At 48.8% G+C, this 19,337-nt stretch overlaps 1 long non-coding RNA gene across 1 annotated transcript in view, besides 3 other annotated features; it reads right to left on the bottom strand.

Annotated features, from left to right (window-relative positions):
* Positions 1-19,337, bottom strand: part of LOC107984933 (uncharacterized) — an 82,158-nt gene that overhangs the window by 47,056 nt on the left and 15,765 nt on the right. The window lies entirely within an intron of this gene.
* Positions 5,629-6,199: an enhancer, noted in NCBI's record as "OCT4-NANOG-H3K4me1 hESC enhancer chr1:29798359-29798929 (GRCh37/hg19 assembly coordinates)". NCBI's record gives its function as "activates a minimal SCP1, AML or CMV promoter by ChIP-STARR-seq in naive H9 embryonic stem cells {active_cell/tissue: H9 hESC(naive)}" and the evidence as "EXISTENCE:reporter gene assay evidence [ECO:0000049][PMID:30033119]".
* Positions 11,982-12,182: a silencer, noted in NCBI's record as "peak143 fragment used in MPRA reporter construct". NCBI's record gives its function as "represses an SCP1 promoter by STARR-seq MPRAs in K562 erythroleukemia cells {active_cell/tissue: K562}" and the evidence as "EXISTENCE:reporter gene assay evidence [ECO:0000049][PMID:32103011]".
* Positions 12,183-12,383: a silencer, noted in NCBI's record as "peak142 fragment used in MPRA reporter construct". NCBI's record gives its function as "represses an SCP1 promoter by STARR-seq MPRAs in K562 erythroleukemia cells {active_cell/tissue: K562}" and the evidence as "EXISTENCE:reporter gene assay evidence [ECO:0000049][PMID:32103011]".

Below are 19,337 nucleotides of genomic sequence, written 5' to 3'. Positions count from 1 at the left end.
AGTGTGGTGGAGTGATACCACAGCCCTTTTTGATCAAAGCAGCATAGCGATGCTCATGCCTTGTATAATCCCCTCCCGCTGAGCACCAGCGGGACCTGGGACTTGATCTTCTGAACAAAATATGGCAAAGGTGATGGGATGTCACTGCCATGACTGGCTTATGAGATATGTATGTGTTATGTGTTATATGTGTATCACATAACATGTATGCATGCACACATGTAGATCTACATATGTATCTATCTATCTGTATGTAAAAAGACATAGCCATCATGGAAGCACACATGAGACTCTCTCCTTTGTTGGCTACCAGGAAGCTGCTGTTTCATGAGAGCCTGGTTCAGAGGGCCACATGGCAAGCAGCTGCCGACAAACTGAGAGCAGCCGCTGATGGGTGGCCAGCAAGAAAACATGGACCTCAGTTATGCGGCTGCAAGGAGGTGAATTCTGCCAACAAACTGAAGGTGCTTGAAAGCAGAACTTCCTCATTCAAGCCTCTGATGAGAATGCAGCCTTCTGAGACCTCAGAGGACCCAGCACCCTATGCCAGACTCCTGACCCATGGAAACTGGGAGATGATAAATGTGTGTTGTAGTAAGACACTTCATTTGTGTTATTTTTTTTTTCAGCAATGAAAAACTAATACACCAAGGAAGAACAGTTTTAATGGAAAGGCAGAGGAGAAAGTTTGATCTGGTGGGTTCAGGAGACCCCTATCTCACACCATGCACAACAATTAACTCAAAATGGATCATAGGCCTAAATAGAAGAGCTAAAACTATAAAGCTTTTATGTGACCTTGGGTTTGGTAAATATTTTACAAATATGACACCAAAAGCATGATTTATTTAAAAAAACTTCAATTTCATCAAAATTTAAAACTTTTGGGCTCCAAAAGATACCATTAAGAAACTCAAAAGATGACCCACAGACTGAGAGACAATGTTTGTAAATCATATATCTCATAAGGGACTTGTACCAGACTATACAAAGAACTCTTACAATTCAATAATAAGAAAACATGTACCCCAATTTAAAATGGGCAAAAGATTTGAATAGACAGTTCACCAAAGAAGATATAGGACAAAGATATTAAAGAAGATGTTGGTCAAATGGCCAGTAAGCGCATGAAAAGATGCTCAACATTCTTAGTCATCGGGGAAACAGAAGTTCAAATCACAATGAGACACTTCTTTGCACCCATTACAATGGCTATAACCAAAACAACAGTCAATAGCGAGCGTTAGCAAGGATGTGAGGATGTGGAGAAACTTAAGACCTCATACATTCCTTGTGGGAATATAAAATGGCACAGCCACTTCAGAAAACAGTTTGGCAAATTCTTAAATTATTAAACATAAACATAAACTTACCCTACAGCCCAACAATTTTACTCCTAACTATATACTCAAGAGAAATGAAAACATATGTCCACACAAAAACTTGTGTATGAAGGTTGATAGCAGCATTATTCATAATAGCTCAAAACTGAAAACAACCAAGAGTCCATTGACTGATGAATGAATGTGTAGAATATGGTATATCCATCCAATGGACTGTCGAACAGCCATAAAAATGAACACAGTACTAATACATGCCGCAACATGGATGAACCTTAAAAACACTATGCTAGGTTTTTAGAAAACCAGACAGGAAACCTCGCATATTACATGATTCCAAATATGAAATGACCAGAAAAGGCCAATCTATAGAGACAGAAAGTAGCTTAGTGGCTACCTGGAGATGGGGGTGGAAAGAGGGAGTGACCCCAAATAGGCACAAGACAACTCTTTGGAGGGATTGAAATATTCTAAAACTGATTGTAGTGATGGTTGTCCATTCTGTAAATTTACTAAAAATCACTGAAATGTACTCTTAACATGGGTGAATTTGATGGCATCTCTCTGTGCTTGATTGCTACTGATAGGGTGTAAGCCTGGAGTTGGGGAACATCTCATCACTGCTCGGGAAAAGCCTGTTAGAGAAAGTTGAGCCCAAAGAGGGCAGCAGGATACTCCTGCAGACAAGATTTGGGAACGTGGATCCAGCCAGTCCTGACCTAGTTTTTTAGTTATGTGAGCCAGTGAATTCTTCTTTGTTTTCTTGCCTGTTTTTATCTTAAGCCAGTTTTGGCTTCTTCCACTCGTAACCCAAAGGTTCCTGACAAATACCATAATTCATAATGATTATCTCTGAAGCAGAAACTTTACAGATGGTGTTTGATTTCATCACCACGAAAACCCCGTGTGTCAGGCACAGTGAACTCCATTTGTCAGGTGGGAAACTGAAATGGAACAGGCGAAGCGACTTCCCAAAGCCCCTTGACTAGTTAAGTGCAGAGCCACAATTTGAACCCAGCCGTGTTGGAGCCCACATCCTGTGCTGAGCCCACTGCACGAGGCCGCCTCTCCCAACACAGGGCTTGGCCCAGAGTGGATGAACACCCGGTAACTAGGACTGGCTTTGCTGCCCCAGGACACCCTCAGAGGAGCCAGGAGTGAACCAGATGTGGCTGTGGGTCTGTGTCTCCCTGCGACCTTGCTCCCGCTCCAGGCACTCAGTATTTGTCCTCTCCTGAGTTCATGTGATCCCTCCTGACCAAGAGTGTCCGAGGCCTCTCTTGGTCCCCATAACCCCAGTTCCCCTTCCCCCTAGGCCTCCATCTGGAGCCCAGAGCCTGCTCAGAGGTCTGCCTGATATCACCTGCCAGCCTGGCAGCCAGCCTCTCTGCATGAACAGTGGCCCCCTACCTTGCCCATTCCACTGCCAGGTGCCAGGCCCACCTGGGCATCTCTCTACCCCCTGCCCTGGGCTGATGTTTCCCTCCCCTGCTTTTAAGGCTCAGCCCTGCATATCCTGCTGTTGTGGTTAATTTTATGTGTCAGTTTGAAGGGTGTTTTGGATGAGATTAACATTTAAATCCGTGAACTTTAAGTAAGCAGATCACCCTCCATAATATGGTGGGTCTCATCCAATCAGTTGAAGACCTGAATAGAACAGAAGACAGGCACCCCCGAGCAAGAGGAATCTTCTCCTGTAGCCCGCCTTCAGACCTCCATACCACTGGCTTTCCTGGTCTCTCTGCCTGAAAATCCACACTGCAGATTTTAGCCTCACCAACCTCCATAATTGTGTGAGCCTGTTCCTTAGAATAGACCTCGTTTATATCTATATGCACACATCCTGTTTGCTGTGTCCCTCTGGAGAGCCCTGACTATTACACCTTCCCAGACCAAGATCCCAAAGTCCTTGGGGCTGTTCTGATCATCAGCAGGTGGCCTCCCAAAGCCTGCTCTCTGGGAGCTGGAAACCACATCTTTGCTCAGGTCATTCCCTGTCCCGTCCTGCTACCCTTTCTCCCCTCCTCCCAGATAAGGATCCTTATCAGACTTTGCTCTGGGAAGCCCAACCTATGCTAACTGATAATGGGAATGGCCCTGGGAGGCAGACTCTCAGATGGAATTGTAGAAATGGATCTGCCGTCACCAGCTATAGGAGGTTGTGGTAGTCCCTGATGCAAGATAGCAGTGTAATGGTTCAGACAGTCACCCACAGTGAATGGGGAAGGCACACGGGGGCGGAGGCATGTGCTCTGGCTGGTGCAAGTTCTCCAGCACTAGAAAGTACTGGGAGAAGGCAATTATAGAGAAATTGGCATTGGGGTCCATTGTTAAGTGTCACTGACACATTGAGGACTGAAAATTATAGACTCAGATCTCTTAATCAGCAGTTTGAAGCGAAATGTTCATCAGAGAGCCTACTTGGCAGCAGAAGAGAGACATCCATCTCCTATAGCCACAGACCAGACACAGGACCACAGGGTAGCAGTGCCAGAGCTCCGAAGAAGGGAGAATTATCTGCTTGGCGAGTCTCCTGTGCCAAAGTCAGGGCTCTATAGGAAAAGAATATGACCCTGAAACTTTTTTCAAGTCCATCTGGATGGGTGGACATGAGAGTCCAGATTCCCCTGGACCCTCTAGACCTGCAGAAGTGGCACACTCCCCCCTTGTTGGAAGATAAGAGCCTCCTTGCTAGAAGACTATACAGAGGCCTCAGATTAGGAGGGGGCCTTACAAAATAATGCTTTTTCAACATCTGCCCCGATGTCCCCTTTTCACCACCAGACTCATAACTAGGCTCCAATCTAATCATAAACCAACTGCCAAAGTATCAGGTATTCCCGAGGAAGAGACAGAGTGTATATCCAAGCAGCTGCAGGAGCTGGCCACGTGGACCAGTGGGAACCAGGAAAGCAGGTCGGCAGTGGATCCTGGGGTGTGGGATGAAGGTGGATGAATATGAAGCTGGCCTAGGGGATGCACAGACATGGGGGCTGTCCTGTGACCTGGATTGAGCCCCCCAGGAAGGGCCTGCAGATGGGCTTAGAATGCCGCTGGAATAGCTCTCAGAATCTTGGAAAAAGCCAGGCCCAACATTAAATGAAGTGACAATGCCAGAATCGCTTTGGCCGACTGTGGAGGAAGGGGTCAGGAGGCTCAGAGGCACAGGCATGAGAGAAAAGTTATATTATGCAAACCAGAAAGCTAGTGGGTTCTGTTCCTCAGGGGCCCTGGAAAGTTCTGGTAATAGGGGCACCAGCAACACTGAGAAGCTTAGTGGTGGCTTAGCTCTGTGAGCGAGAGCTGGTGTTAGGAGACTGTTCTAGAACAGTGTTCCCTGGCAGCTGTGGGGAAAGATAAGATCCCAACAGCAGACGGCACTTAACCATCAGAAATGAGCAGCATAATTATCATAATGGGCAGCAAGGTCGGAAGTGTAGCCTCATTAAATCTGAAAACTTTTAAGCTTCAAAAAGCACTGGTAAAAGATTGAAAAAGACAAGCCGCAGACTAGAAGAAAATATCTGCAAATCTTATATCTGACAAAGGACTTATTTCGAGAATCTATACAGAACTCTTAAGCTCAATAAAAAGAAAATAATCCAATTTTTTTAATGAGCAAGAGACTTAAATACATGTGGGTGACAAATAAGTACATGAAAAGGCACTCGACATCTTTAGTTATTAGAAAAACATGAATGAAAACCACAGTGAGATACTACCACATGCCTATTAGAATGGTTAAAATTTAAAAAAAAACTGACATTATCAAATGATGGGAGGATAAGGAGCAACGGCAACCCCTCTGCATTGCAGGTGGAAGTGGAAAATGGCAAGAGCCCTTTGCAAAACAGTTTGCAAGTTAAACATGCAACCAAGCATATGACCAGCCCATTCCACAACTAGATATTTTCCCAAGAAAAGTGAATATAAAAGTTTGTGCAAAGACTTGCACACAAATTTTCGTAGCAGCTTTGTTTGCAATATCAGAAAACTGAAAACAACCTCAATGTCCATGACCAGGGGAATGGATTCACAAATGACAGTATAGCCATACAATCGATTACTACTTGGCAATAAAAAGGAGCAAACTTTGATACATGCAACAGCTGGGTAAAACTGAAGGTAATTAGGCTGAGTGGGAAACAAACAGGCAAAAGTACATGCCTTATAATTGAGTTATATAAAATTCTAAAAAATGCAAACTAATCTATAGTGACAGAAAGCAGACCAGTGATTGCCTGGAGAAAAAGGGGAAGAAGAAAGTGTGGAAAAAGAGGAAAGGTAGTGTGGCACATTCAGGCAGGTAGCTGCCGACTTGTGGTCCACTGGGACTGTGAGCTCTCTCTTGTGCTAAGCAAAGCACTAGCCTGTCTCAATGTCTTCTCAGACTGTCCTCTCCTGGAGCTAATGTCGGAGGAACCAGGCAGGATTTGCTGATGGCAGGGATAAAAAGACCCTTCCCCCACCCAGGCAGGTCTCTGGGAAAGTTATTCCAGCTGCCAACCCAGGCCATCCTGGGTAATGAATGGCCTCTCTTCAATGTCAGCTGGAAGATGGGTCCCTCTTTAATGTGCTGCAGTGTCATTAAGAGAGAAAACATTAACTCCATGGGGCTCCTGATGGCCTTCAGAAACTGCAAGTTAAACACTAACCAGGAAGGGCTGCTCAAGCCTTAACCCTCCCCTTCCCAGCACAGGCCAAGGCATCAGCCAGATGGCTCTGCAGATCACTGACCTGGGCCCCCAGGGACCCTGGCTCCTGTTTCCAGGCTCTTCTCAGACTGGTGAGCAAGAACATATGAGGAAAGAGGGATGACAGAGGGCAGAGAAGAATCCTTGAGGCTCTCAGTTCAGGTGTTTGTAGACAGGGGCCCCATCCACTCCAGGGCTGGTTACAGAGCAGAGCACTTAGAGGCCGGGTTGGGGCTGGTGACTTTGGGCCACTCCCTTGACCTCTCTGTTTGCCAGGTTCCTGCTGGGTGGGGGCTGGATGGGCTCCATCCCTCCAGGTAGAACACAGTGGTCTTCTCCAAGATGGGTGGCATGTCCTCAAACCCCCAGGTCCCTGCACCAAAGCCCACTCCCTGCTCAGACCACACGTGACCAGGTGGGGAGGCCACATGTGGGGCAGAGGGGAGCAGCTGACCTGGATGAGCTGGCAGAGGGGCAGGAAACCCGGGCACAGAGCGTCCCTGGGTGCCTGGCACTGTGCTGGGGCTGTACACACACAAAATGCCTGTGCCAGCCTCATGACCACCCTGTGAGGAGGGGGTGCCATTCCCCCCATTTCATAGCTGACAACATGGGTCCTCTGAGTTCAGAGGGACCTGCCCAGGTTGAACCCAAATCTGCCCCATTCCAAACCCAAACTCTTCCCCATCAGCCTTTGGTAGGGAGTATGAAAGAGGGTGTGGCCTCACCTTGGCCCCTCTCCCTTTTGCACATGCTGTCTCCCCTCCTTGCCTGTCTTCCCCTCTTCTATCCAATTCTTGCCCAGCCTAAGGCAAGCCTCCCTGATGTCTGAGAGCCAAACCCCAAGGGTGCTATCCAGTGAGGACTCTGGTTGTTCAATTTCCCAACATGGCTTTAGACTGTGCTGCCGTGAGTGCAGACGCAAGCATGAGCTCGTTTCATTCTCTCACCAGGTTCATAGGTATTTGCTTGGCGTTGACTTGAAGCCAGGTGCCATGGGTCTGCAGAGAGGATGGGAATAAATATGCACTGAGTCCTTGCGGATGCCCCTCCCGTGCCCAGGGGAGCCCACGTGTCCTCCCAGGCAGGCTTCTTGCCCCATTTAGCAGACGAGGAAACTGAGGCTCAGAGAGGGAGAGGAAGCTGCTCAGGGTGAACCAGTGGCGGCGATTCAACACCAGGCCAGTCCCAAAATCCACACCTGCCCTTCCCCACATTCCCAGCCCTGGTACCCTTTAAGCTCCCTCTGCTGGGGCAGGACTGGCCCTTTGCTCTGGAGCCTCTTGTTGCCCAGTGGGGGCTCAGCAGCCACAGCCATGCAAGGAGGGACGGAACTGGCAGGGCCTTATGTCACCCCTTGGGAGGATAGACTGAGGCACCCAGGGTGCAAAGTTCTGAGGGGATGCTCACCCACAGGGCCGGGCAGGTGCCGACTCTGCTTAGTGGAAGCTCTCAGCCCTCTATTTACCCTCCAGTCTGTGGCTCCACATGGGGAGTCCAGGCCCCTTGGCTGTATACTTGCCTGTCCCCTTTCTCCAAATTATCCCCTGGGCCTGTCTGTAGCCACAGGATGTGGATTAACCTGTCTTTAGGCTTCTGGCTCCAGACGCTCTGTCTCCTGCCTTCCTGGGCTGGTCCCTCGCCAGCTCTGTCCTCAGAGAAATATGGATGGACCAGATGGTGGCAGCTGGTTCTGGGCCATGGGAGGGTGCAGGCCCGGCCCTGGGGCTGGCGCTGGTTGATAAATCCCATCTCTTTGAGCTGGTGGTGGCTTTTCCTGCAGATGAGTCTCAGCACAAAGTAGGGTGTGCAAGTGTGTCTGTGTACTTGCGGGAACAAGGAGTCCCTTTGTTTTCCCAGACGTGGATTTTATCTCTGTGTCCATCCTGGGGCTGCTAGAGTGAGTGTCCACTTTGCTGATAGAGGCTAATAATAAGTGTCACCGTGTGACCCCATTTGGGCTACCCCGGATCAACTTCAAGTTGAAAGAGAAAGTGAAAAGCAGAGAAGAGAAAGAGAAAAGGAGGAAAAGTTAATCCTAAGATGCCATAATCAGAAAGTCCTCCAAAAAACTGAGTCTAAATCTCTTTTATAGATGGGGAAACTGAGGCTCTGAGAAGCTCTCAGCAGGGTCACACAGGGTGAGGATTCAATGAATAGTTGCAGAGCACAGAGAGGGCTGGAAGGAGGAGATGATGACAGTGTATGTAAAGTGCCCAGCACTGGGGCCGAAGCCCAGAGTCCAGGCCTTGGTGATGAACCCCATGGAGTAAAACCGCTATAGGTCAGGACCAATCCAGGGCTCGGGCAGTGAGCCTGGGAGCAGGGCCAAGTGGCCTCAGCCATGAGGGGTGGGGTCAGCCCTCTGAGGTTGTATGGGGCAATGTCTGGCAGGGCTCTGACGGTGACCTACTTCCATAGACATAGACCACAGATGTCCAGGATGAGTCAGGGCAGAGGGCCAGGTGCCTCCCTGGGTCTCTCTGAACTCCTTGGCCAGCAACTCTACAATGTTCTTCCAAGCACCCTGGTATTTTGGCAATTCTGGTTTCCTGGAATCATTTCCCCAACCCTATTTATGGTGAAAGGGACTCTGTGATTCAGGTCACAGACAGGGTCTGCAGTTAGAAAGGGACCTGAGGGAGGTTTTGTCCAGGAGAGACCCACACCCTGACGCCAGTTCTCTAGGCCTCCCTGGGTCCCAGCCCCACTGCCGTGACCCTGGGGAGGATGCAACCATTGATCCCATGCTCTCCTAGGTGGGAAGTGGGGGGGATGCTCTCCTGCCAATCATGTGATGATTAAGAGTTTGGGTTTCTGAAGCAGACAAACCTGAGTTCAACTGGCTTGTGGTGTGACCCTGGGCAAGTCCCTCTGCCACTCGGAGGACAGAGGTCTCATCTGGGCAGGCCCCACTCTGGGCTCTGCAACACTGGGGCTGTCTCGGAGACCATTCATATATTCAGAGAAAAGAAATCACTCTCCATTTTATTAACCTAATTAGAAGTAATCAAGTCGTGGAGATCTGTGCAGAAAGCTGAGTGATTAGGAAAAATTATCTCCTGTGAAGAGTTTAAATTTAAATGTGTTTGGTTCCATCATTGAAAAAACAAATAGAGAAGAGTTGGCTTTCTGTCCCCACCCCTGTGGCCCAGAGTTTCAAGAGGTGGGGGCAGCAGCTCAGAGAGAGCGTCCAACCACAAGCAGGACTGGCAGGGGGTACAGCAGACCTGCCGAGACAGGGGCCTACATGCTCTGGAAGGAAAGCACTCTCTCGAGACCACCACCCTCACCCTCAGGGATAGCCACGGCCTCAGCCTCAGACCTCTGGCACACACACAAAGTCACACTCATGCACACCCACACCCTGAAACAAATGTGCACGTCTGTCCTTGGGCTCAAAGTATTCTTATATCCTGAACAACAGACTCTCCCCCAAGAGACCCAGAATTCTCAGGAGCCCAAGACGTGTGTGTGTATGCGTGTGCATGCGCATGTGGGTGTGGGTTGGGGAGGAGTTGCAGTGACTTCCCTGCTTGCTGTCTCTGTCGATTTGGCTCAAGTGGAATGGAGTGGGTAGGTGGGACCATCATTGTCAGAAGTCTGGAGAAGCAGACAGAGGGATGCAACTGCGGTAGGGCCATACTGCACCCAAAGGGGTGAAGTCACTCTCAGGTGAGTCCTTGAGCATGCACAGTGTCTTTAAGGGTCCCTGAAATCTCACTCTTTCCTTCTCCTTCACTGAGAAGTAAGCCCTTGGGCTATTTCAGAACATAGCACCTGTTTGCAGAGGGCAGGTCCCAGTCCAGACCATCCATTCCCTGGGGCTGGGTGGAGTCTAGAGACAGTTACTTTCAGCCCTGCTGAGTCAGGCATAATGGCCCTTCAATCCACACCCTTTCTTAGCTTATCCCCCAACCTGTGTGGGGCCCTTTCTTAAGGCCAAGACAACTGGGAGGGGGAGGAGTGCATGGCAGAGTGGGAAAGGATGGGAGGAGGTGGGTAGGGAGGCCACATTCTTCAGAGGAGCTGGGAGATCATAGGGATCTTCTCTTCTCCCACACCTGCCTTTGTATTTGAAGAGGAATAAATAGGGCACAGTACTCAGACCATAAAATCCAGAAGCCAGAATCCAAAATGATATATGCCAGAATCCAGAATGTATAATCCTGGGCCCCAGAGCTATAGATAATAAAACCTAGAACTACAGAATCTAGAGGTACAGACCTCAGAATCACAAAATTCCAAACCCAGAAATGCAAAACCCAGAGTCACCGAATTCAGAAACAGGGAATCTAGAACAGAGAATAAGACACTGAACCCATAATTACAGAGCCCAGAGCTCAGAATCATGTGCCCTAGGACACTAGAACCCAGGACGTTTGTGCTGTCTGAAATGTCCTCCCTCTCCTATGATAAAGCCTCCAGAGCGTTTGAGTGGCATGCTATTTCCCACAGGAAGCTCCTGACACCCTCAGATCTTGTAGGGCCCTCCCTTCTCTGCTCAGGTCTCCCCTAGATTCTGTGGTGCTGTTCCTGCCTGTTCCCTCCTTCCACACAGGTCTGACTCCCCTCTGTGCCACATCCTGTCCCTGAATTGGACCTGACCCAGTTCCCTGCTCATGGTGGGCACTCAAGTCATGTTTGTGGAATGGCTTTTGAATCATCTGCCCTGAACCCCATCATGTTCCCAAAGGAGTGCCTGAAGCCCAAGGAAACAGCACATTTTTCCCATGGCCACACAGTATATTTGAGAAGTTCCAAACAAGATTTCAATTCTCCTTCTGCCAAGCCTAGGGCTGCTTCCCTGCCCCAGAATGTCTCTGAAGGACTCCAGTGTTAACATGGAATGCCACCATATCTTCTTGCCATTGTTGTTAGTTTCACCCTTAAAAGCTTCAAAAGTTTAGGAGAAACTGCTCAGTCTGGGAGTAATGGTGATGATGATAAGGATGACGGTAGGCTTCCTGGAAGAAGTGACATCTGAGCTCATTGGGCATGTGGGAATCTATTCCAGTTAGAGATAGGCAAAGAGGTAGGAGATACATCCTATGATCGGTGACTACAAGTGGAAGATAGCCATGGAGAAAAAAAGGTAATGTTAGAGGAGAACTTGCAGTATTTTGTATGCCATCCTAGGATGTTTAGTTCTTACCTAATGTATGTATTATGTCCCTGGATTGCCTATAGCTCCTTGAGGACAGGAACTATGGTTTTCTCCAAAAACCCAAGGATAAACACAGATTTGATTGGGAGAAAAAGCAAAGGGAGATGGGACCTGGCAACAGTATTGCTTGTCCAAGGCTATACTTGTGAGTGAATGTTAAATCAGACCAAGGGGGTGTTGTCAACAGTGTCCTGAACCTCTGAGCAAGGAGTGGGGCGAGAGAGGAAGAAGGTGAGTGGAGGTCAGGAGAGTGGCCAGAAGCCACAGGTTTCTGTGGTGACTAGAGCAGGGGTCCCCAACCCCCAGGCCATTGACTGGTACTGGTCCGTGACCTGTTTGGAACTGGTCTGCACAGCAGGAGGTGAGCAACAGGGTGAATGAAGCTTCATCGGTATTTACAGCTGCTCCCCATTGCTCACATTACCACCAGATCTCCACCTCTTGTCAGATCAGCAATGGCATTAGATTCTCATAGAAGCATTAACCTTATTGTGAACTGCACATGCAAGGGGTCTAGGTTGCATGCTCCTTATGAGAATCTAATGCCTGATGATCTGTCCCTGTCCCCCATCACCCCCAGATGGAACTGTCTAGTTGCAGGAAAACAAGCTCAGGGTTCCCACTGATTCTACATTATGGGGAGTTGTATAATTATTTCATTGTATATTATAATGTAATAATAATAGAAATAAAGTGCACAATAAATGTACTGCATTTGAATTATCCCAAAACCATCCCCTACCGCCACCCCACCCCAACCCCACTGCCACCCACCTACCCATCTGTGGAAAAAATTGTCCTCCACAAAACCAGTCCCTGGTGCCAAAGAGATTAGGGACCACTGGGCTAGAGGATCCATATGGGTTTAGCACCATGGACAGCTACCAGAGCTGCTAGATGGCTTTTCTCTTCAGACTCCTGGGATCACTCGGTTCCCTGTCTTCTAAATGGAATTATCTGGATGATAAAGGAAATTTGCTCTTGCAATCATACATTGTGACCAGGAACGAGAAAACTGACTCTGGAACGAGATGATCTGAATTCAAATCCTTGTTCCACTGCTTACTATTTAATAGTTATATAGTCTTGGACAAGTTTCTTAACCTCTCTATGCTGTGGCTGAGTCTTATCTGTCAAATGACTCCTTCATGGCAGTCTTTGTTCATTATGTATTTCCTCAGTCATTGTTATTGAATAATAGCTGTTTTAGTAGTGATATAATAATATATATTTAGCACTTATTGTAGACTGAGCATTGTTGTCCCAATAATTGTCCCAATTATTGACTTAGATTATCTCATTCAATCTCACAACAATTCTGGTGGGGTCAGATAGTTATTGCTATTATTCTCCTTTTATGGATAAGGAAATTGAGGTTCAAGAATAACGTGCCAAGACCAAGACACTGAACATTAGACAATGAAGGACAGTGATCCCTGAAAGATGGGACACAAAAAGGTGAGACAAGATCCCCCAGCTTATTGTCTTGAGAGAATTTCCAGGCCATGGTGTAGGGAGAAAAAATACAGGAAGCGATGAGTTAAAGAGACAAGGCTGAGAAACTAGGAAGAACAAGACATTTAGAATTCATAAGACAAAGTACCATGAGGAGAGATATAAAAATAGAGAGAAACTGGGCCAGGTGTGGTGGCTTACTCTGGGAGGCTGAAGAGGGAGAATTGCTTGAGCCCAGGAGATTGAGTCTGCAGTGAGCCATGATCGTGCCACTGTGCTCCAGCCTGGGCAACTGAGCAAGACCCTGTCTCAAAAAAAAAAATAGAAAACTGAATGTACACAGAGGGTCTTTCTCAAGAATCCTGCCAAGTACTGACAAGTGCATGCATTTGAGGAAACCATTAAACTCTGGAGAAAGAACCACTCAAAAGAATTGAAGGTAACAGTACCCAGAACTCACACAGGGTTGGACATAGTGCCTGTTCCCCATTAGCCAGGCCAGAAAATCTCATGGTTCACATGAAATTGAATAAAGTACACAGAAGGGTCTTGCCTAGAGAGTGGAAAGCAAATAGCCCTAGATTAAGCATTATCTTATTTCTGCCTAACAACTCTTAAAAGCAAGACCTGAAAGGATCAAATTGCTAACAAGTAAGTTAACTGCACCCAAGAATATAGCTCAAGAAATTTTATGGAAATACAAAAACATCCAGCATCCAACAAGGTAGAATTCACAATGCCTAACATTCAATCAAAAATTAGCAGGTACACAAAGAAAATGTAACCCATAATAAGGAGATGAATGAATCCATCAAAACCAACTCAGAACTGATACAGATAAATAAAATTAGCAGACAAAGACTTCAAAGCTTATTATAATTGTATTCCATATATTTAAAAAGTTGAGACATAGAAGCTATAAGCAAAATCAAATAGAACACTAGTAAGTGAAAACTACAATGTATGAGATAAACATACACTAGAGGAAGTTGACAGCACTTTAGTAATTTCAAAAGAAAAGATTAATGAACTTGACACCATAATAATAGAAACTATTCAAACTGAAACAGAGAGAAAAAAATGAATTTTTTAAATGAACAGAGCAGCAGCAAATTATGGGACAAATTCAAACTGTATAATTGGAGTCTCTGAAGGAGGCAGGGAAGAAAAAACATTTGAAAAACTAATGGCAGAAAAATTTCCAAATTTGAAGAAAACTGTAATCCCAGAGATCAAAGGAGCTCAACAAAGCCCAAGCACATAAGAAAAACTACAACTTTTTTGTAGAAATTGACAAATTGATTCTAAAATTCATATGGAAACACAAAGAACCTATAACAGCCAAAAAAAACCCTTAAAGAGGACTATTTCAAGACATTATAAAACTATGGTAATTAAGACAGTGTGGTGTTGGCATAAAAAGAAACAAATCTCTCAGTGGAACAGAATAAAGTGTCCAGAAATAGTTCCTCACATATATGAATAATTGATTTTTGACAAAGGAGCAAAAGCAATTCAGTGGAGAATAGTCTTTTTATCAAGTGGTGCTGGAACATCAGAATATCCATCCGTAAAAAAATGAACTTCAATCCCTACCTCATGCCATACATAAAAATTAACTCAAAATGGCTCATGGATCTAAATGAAAACCTAAAACTATGAAACTTTTATAAGAAAACAAAGGAAAAACTTTTGTGATCTTGAATTAGGCAAATATTTTTAGATGCCATATCTAAAGAAAAATTCATTAAAAACTAATTGATAAATTAGATTTCATCAGAATTAAAAACTTCTGCTCTTCAAAAGACACCGATAAGAAAATAAAAAGACAAGCTACTGTGTGTGTGGTGGGCAGGGGGTAGGGGCTGTGGCTGGAGTGGGAGGAGGGCAGGGCAGACCTCAGAGGAAACCATGGAGGTCTTTAACAGGCCACAGAGATACAAAGGCAGTCTGCAGAGGTCTACAGGGGTCAGTATGAGTAAAGGCTGGACAAGAACCATTGTCAAAACAGCAGTTAAAAAAAAAACTAACATCTGGCTAGTTTTGTGCCTGGCTCTGTTCTAAGCATTTTATAAGTATTATGCCATTTAATCTTCACAATGACCCTATGAGGGAAGCACTATTATTACCCCCATTTTATAGATAAGCAAACCAAGGCACAGAACGGTTAGGTTGCTTCCTCAGGTCACAATGCTGGTACAGGCTAGGCAGAGACTAAATCCAGCAGCCAGCTCTCAAATCCACACTTTGCCTAACTTTACCCCTCATGGAGCTGCAATATGTTTCCACATGATCACAGCGATCCTCTGTGGAAGACCTAATATGTGTCACACACTGTACAAGGGCTTTCCTCACATTACTTATCTCAGAAAATAGCCAAGTGAAGGAGAGATCACCACTCCCACTTTACAGGTAAGAGCACTCAGGCTCAGGAGACAGAGAGGCTACCGGGATTTGCCAGGACCAGCCAAGGTCTCTGATGTCCCCACTGGGTTCTGGGAGATCTGACTCGAGTCCCCCTCCTCTCGACATGCACCCTACAGGATGCAATAGCAACTCTGAGAATGGACGAGGTTGTCTTGGGGTCCCAACCTGAGAGGCCCAGGTAGCCTGGAGTTCCCTTCAGAGGGAGGGGAGCTGCCTCCTACCCACTACTCACAAGGATCCAACCCCAGCCCTTGCCCCTGCCCAGTAAGACCCTGGGTCACCTGCCCTAATGAGACCAGGCTCCCTCATTCCTTATTAGAAATCAGATAGGCTCAAGAATTTTGCTGATCCCTTAGATCATAATAGAAATTCAGGCCCCAGAGTCCCTTTACTCTGCCAAGAGCCCTTTCCAAACTCATCAGGAGGGAAGTAGCTGCCCCTTTAACTATCCCTGGACATATGAAGCACCCGTTCCTGGTGTCCTGGCATGCAGTGGCCAGGCCAGTCCTGCTCATGGGCCCCCAGTGCTCTCTCTCCTGAATTGCAGTGAAGACGGAACCTGAGACGGGCAGGCTTCTGCTCTCCCTGAGGACAGACAGACGTATGCAGGCAGGGGGCTTGGAGGAAAGCCTAGGGCAAGGAGTTGGGGGGGGACCTGGAAGAAGTGGCCAGGGCAGGGAAAGGGAGACCTCAGATGAGCTGGGGGAGAACTCAACTTTCCTGAGCCCCTACTATGTGTCAAGCTCCCAGGGTCACACAAGCCTGGCCGTGGTGGGGCAGGAATCAGTCCTAGGCCTCCAGTGACACTTAAGTTTAACCTCTTCATCCCGACCACACCGTCTAGGTTTGCTCTTTACTGCATGTGAATCCCCATGGCTCCTTCCACCTTGGTTGTACCCTCACCCTCACCCCAGCACCCACAAAGCCACCATGCAGCTCCCTGGGAAACAGAAGCCTCAGTAAATCCCAGCTTCAAGGAGGAGGGCCTGGTTGATCCCTCCTGAGAGACAGACATTTCCTGGCAGAGTAAATCACCTCGGCCTCTCAGCTGCAGGTGCAGCCAGCCACCCTCCTTCCCCTGAAAGTTTGTAAATCAAACCTTACACCTTGACTCAGAATCTGCTGGGGAATAAATAAGGCCGGAAGCAGGGGGGACATGCAGGGAGAAGAGCAGCTCCCCAAGCCAGGCCCTGGAGGGCTTCTGGGATGGAGGTGAGGGGCACAGGGTGGCCACTGAAAGCCCACTGCTCCCACCTGCCGCTCCAGAGGATTGGGCCAGAGGCTTCCTGGGGTCCCTGCCAGCCCCAGCATTCTGTGTCTCCCTGACCCAGTGTCTGGGAACAGCTGGGGAAAAGGGGCTAGGCTCAGGGGTGGAGGCTGGAGAGGGGGCTTGGAGTCTCCAGCAGCTCTGAACTAAGCCCTGGCTGCGGCGTTTGGTGGAGCAGAGGGGGCTGGTGGTAGCAGAGGACAGGACAGTGTCGGGGAGCCCAGCACAGGCCCCGGGCCAGGGCAGCCAGAAGGAAGCCAGAGGGGCAGAACTCAGCACCCTGGGCTGCGAGTCAGGGCCTGGTCAGTTCTGGGTCTGCTGCAGACTTGCTGTGTGACCTTGAGCAAGACACTTGGTCTCGCTGGGCCTCAGCTGCCTCATCAGCAAAGCAGAGATGATTATTCCTGCCCTTGATGCAGAGCTGTTGGGAGGACCTACTGAGGTCAGGGAGGGAAGAGCCAGATGGGAAGAGGAGCCAGGAGCACAGGGATGGGACTTGGCTGCTGACCTGCTCAGGGCCTGGCCCTGCTCCACCCTCCTCTGCCCCCAGCCTCCTGGTGACTGGCCAGGCCCTGGTGTCCCTGCCCCTGAAAGCTCAGTTTATGGGCAGAGGTGAGGCCTTTATGCAAATGAGGCTGCCCCCCATCTCTTCTCCCCCTTTTCCCCAAGGCCACCATCACTGGGGCCTCCCAGATGGCTTGAGTTTCCCAGGTGGGGGCTGAGTCTTGTAAAGCATTTGACTTCTCATCTGCAGGCACAGCAGCTCAGCTGTCTCTCCCAGGATCCATGCTGCTCCCCAGCCCTGTCTTGGACCTTGTCCCCCTTGGAAGAGCAGCCCTCAGCTTCCTCTTTCTGACCAGTTATGTGACTTCAGGTGGGTCCCTTCACCTCTGAGCCTCAGTCTCCTGCATTAGATGGGGATAAGACAGCCTACCTCCTGGATTTGTCCTGTTTATTTACACATTCTTGGAATCCTCCAACAAATATTGAATATTTCCAGGGAGGCTGCTGTGTGCCAGGCCCTGGTCTGGGCACTGGGAACAGGTGTGGAGGTGGGCAGTGGAGACAGGGCCCTGCTTTCATGGGGCTCCCTTGGGCTGGGTGTCAGGTGGCTACAGCAGGGAGCTTGGCTTTGTCGGTGGCCAAGAGCTATACCAGGGCAGAGTGGGTGGGTGACACACCCAAGGTCACACAGTGGTTCAGTGCAGAGCCCAAGCCAGGCTGTCCCCAGAGCAGACACTGCCCACAGCCTGGGAGAGGACCCACAGCCCAGTGAGGTCACCCCCTCCCACAGGGACATGGGGCACCCACACTCAGCACGAGCTCATGGGTGAGGCTGAGCCCACCTGGTTCCTCTTGTCTCCTCAGGCCAAGCCAAGGGCTCTTGGGCCGTATGAGTGAGGGTCACCTGGTCATACACCCTCAGCCTCCCCTTCCTGAACTCTGTCCTCTAGCATTAAAATGCCCAGCAGACTTACCTTGGGACCTGGGAGTAGTTGGAGCTGATCTTGTTATCAGAACCCTCTGGCCACTCACCAGCCACAGCTGGCTGTGCAGGCAGCACCTTCCTCCCCACAGGTGACAACAGGATTTTTAATTATTATAATTATCCCTTGAAACGTTGCTTTACTGCCACTAATAAATAAAATGAGATTTGACTCCCTTCACCTCTCTCTCTCTTCAGCTTTAAATCTGAGGGTGAGTTTTAAGACATGTGAGAAAGAAGAGTTGGTAAGATGAGGCCCTGAGGGGGACTTTATACAGGGAGGAGTCTGAGTTAGTGGGTGTGAATGGGGACGCAGAGACACATCTGGGGGTGGGATCCCTCATGCGTGCATAATGTGCGTACTGTGCCCCCCAAGAGCGTGTGTCTGTGGGGCGGGTGCTTGTGTGTGCAGTGACTGGGGGTGGCAGGGGGCAGGCAGCACCTTGGCTGGGAGGTGGAGTCAGTGACAGATGATAGTGTGATGGGGAGGGTACTCAGGGGGTGGTGACAGGGTGAAGGTAACAGCCAGGGCCCCAGGGGCAGCCAAGCCAATGTGCCTACTTCCCGGCTGTTCATTTCTCCTCTCTAAGCCTTTTTCCTCATCTCCTCCTGGCTATAGTGACTGTCCCTCCAGCATAGGACTGTTGTGAGAATTAAATGAGACGGGACAGTGCACCCATGTGAGTGCCCAAGTAGGGATGGTTGTTAATATATTTGGCAATGTGGTGACCACACAGGTGACAGGGCATGACCATGAGTGACAGAGTCGGGTCCTGGGGTCCAGGCAGCAGAGCCCAGGCATTAGGTTTGTCTTGGCCAGGAACCCAGCTGTCCTCTGAAGGGACATCATCCTCCCAAGAGGTGGTCTGTGGGCTGTGGTCGGCCCAGCCTCTTCTCCCACTCTCAGCGGCCCCCAGGGAGAGTTTTAGACCCCACGGAGGGGACCATCAGGCCCCAGTGCCAGAGTCACATCTTCAGGAGCCTCAGCCTCAAGGGGGACAGGAAAGCACAGTAGTTACTGAGCACCTACTGTGTGCCAGGCACCTGTGCCTGTCCCTGCTCCCATCCGCCCAACATGCTGCTACTGCCCCACTTTGCAAAAGAGGAAACTGTGGCTCAGAGCAACTAAGTGACTGATTCATAGTTATATGCTGCTGAGTGGCAGGGCCAGGACATGGACCTGGGTCTGTCAGAGAACAGAGCCTGCTCCCTTCCCAGGGTCCCTCTGCTGATCACTCAGGGCCCTGGGGGGAGCCCTGGAGCCCCGCTCTCCCTCTAAAGGGCAGGGCAGTGGAGAAAGTGCGATTGGAGCAGGCAGCACCTCCCCCATCCAGAGAGCAGATTTCATTGTGGGGCTTTCCAGTGTGATCTTGGTGGGTCACTACCCCCTTAGTCTCAGTGTCCTCACCTGTCATGTGAGTACAGTTGTCCCCATCCTGGGGGCCAACTGGGGTCCACACAGAGACCAGTGCAGTGGTTAAGCACAGGGCACTGAATCCCA

This window comes from Homo sapiens, chromosome 1, assembly GCF_000001405.40.
Source record: "Homo sapiens chromosome 1, GRCh38.p14 Primary Assembly".
Taxonomy (NCBI): domain Eukaryota; kingdom Metazoa; phylum Chordata; class Mammalia; order Primates; family Hominidae; genus Homo; species Homo sapiens.
Note: the sequence above shows the minus strand (reverse complement) of the source record. Positions and strands in the feature narration are given on the sequence as shown.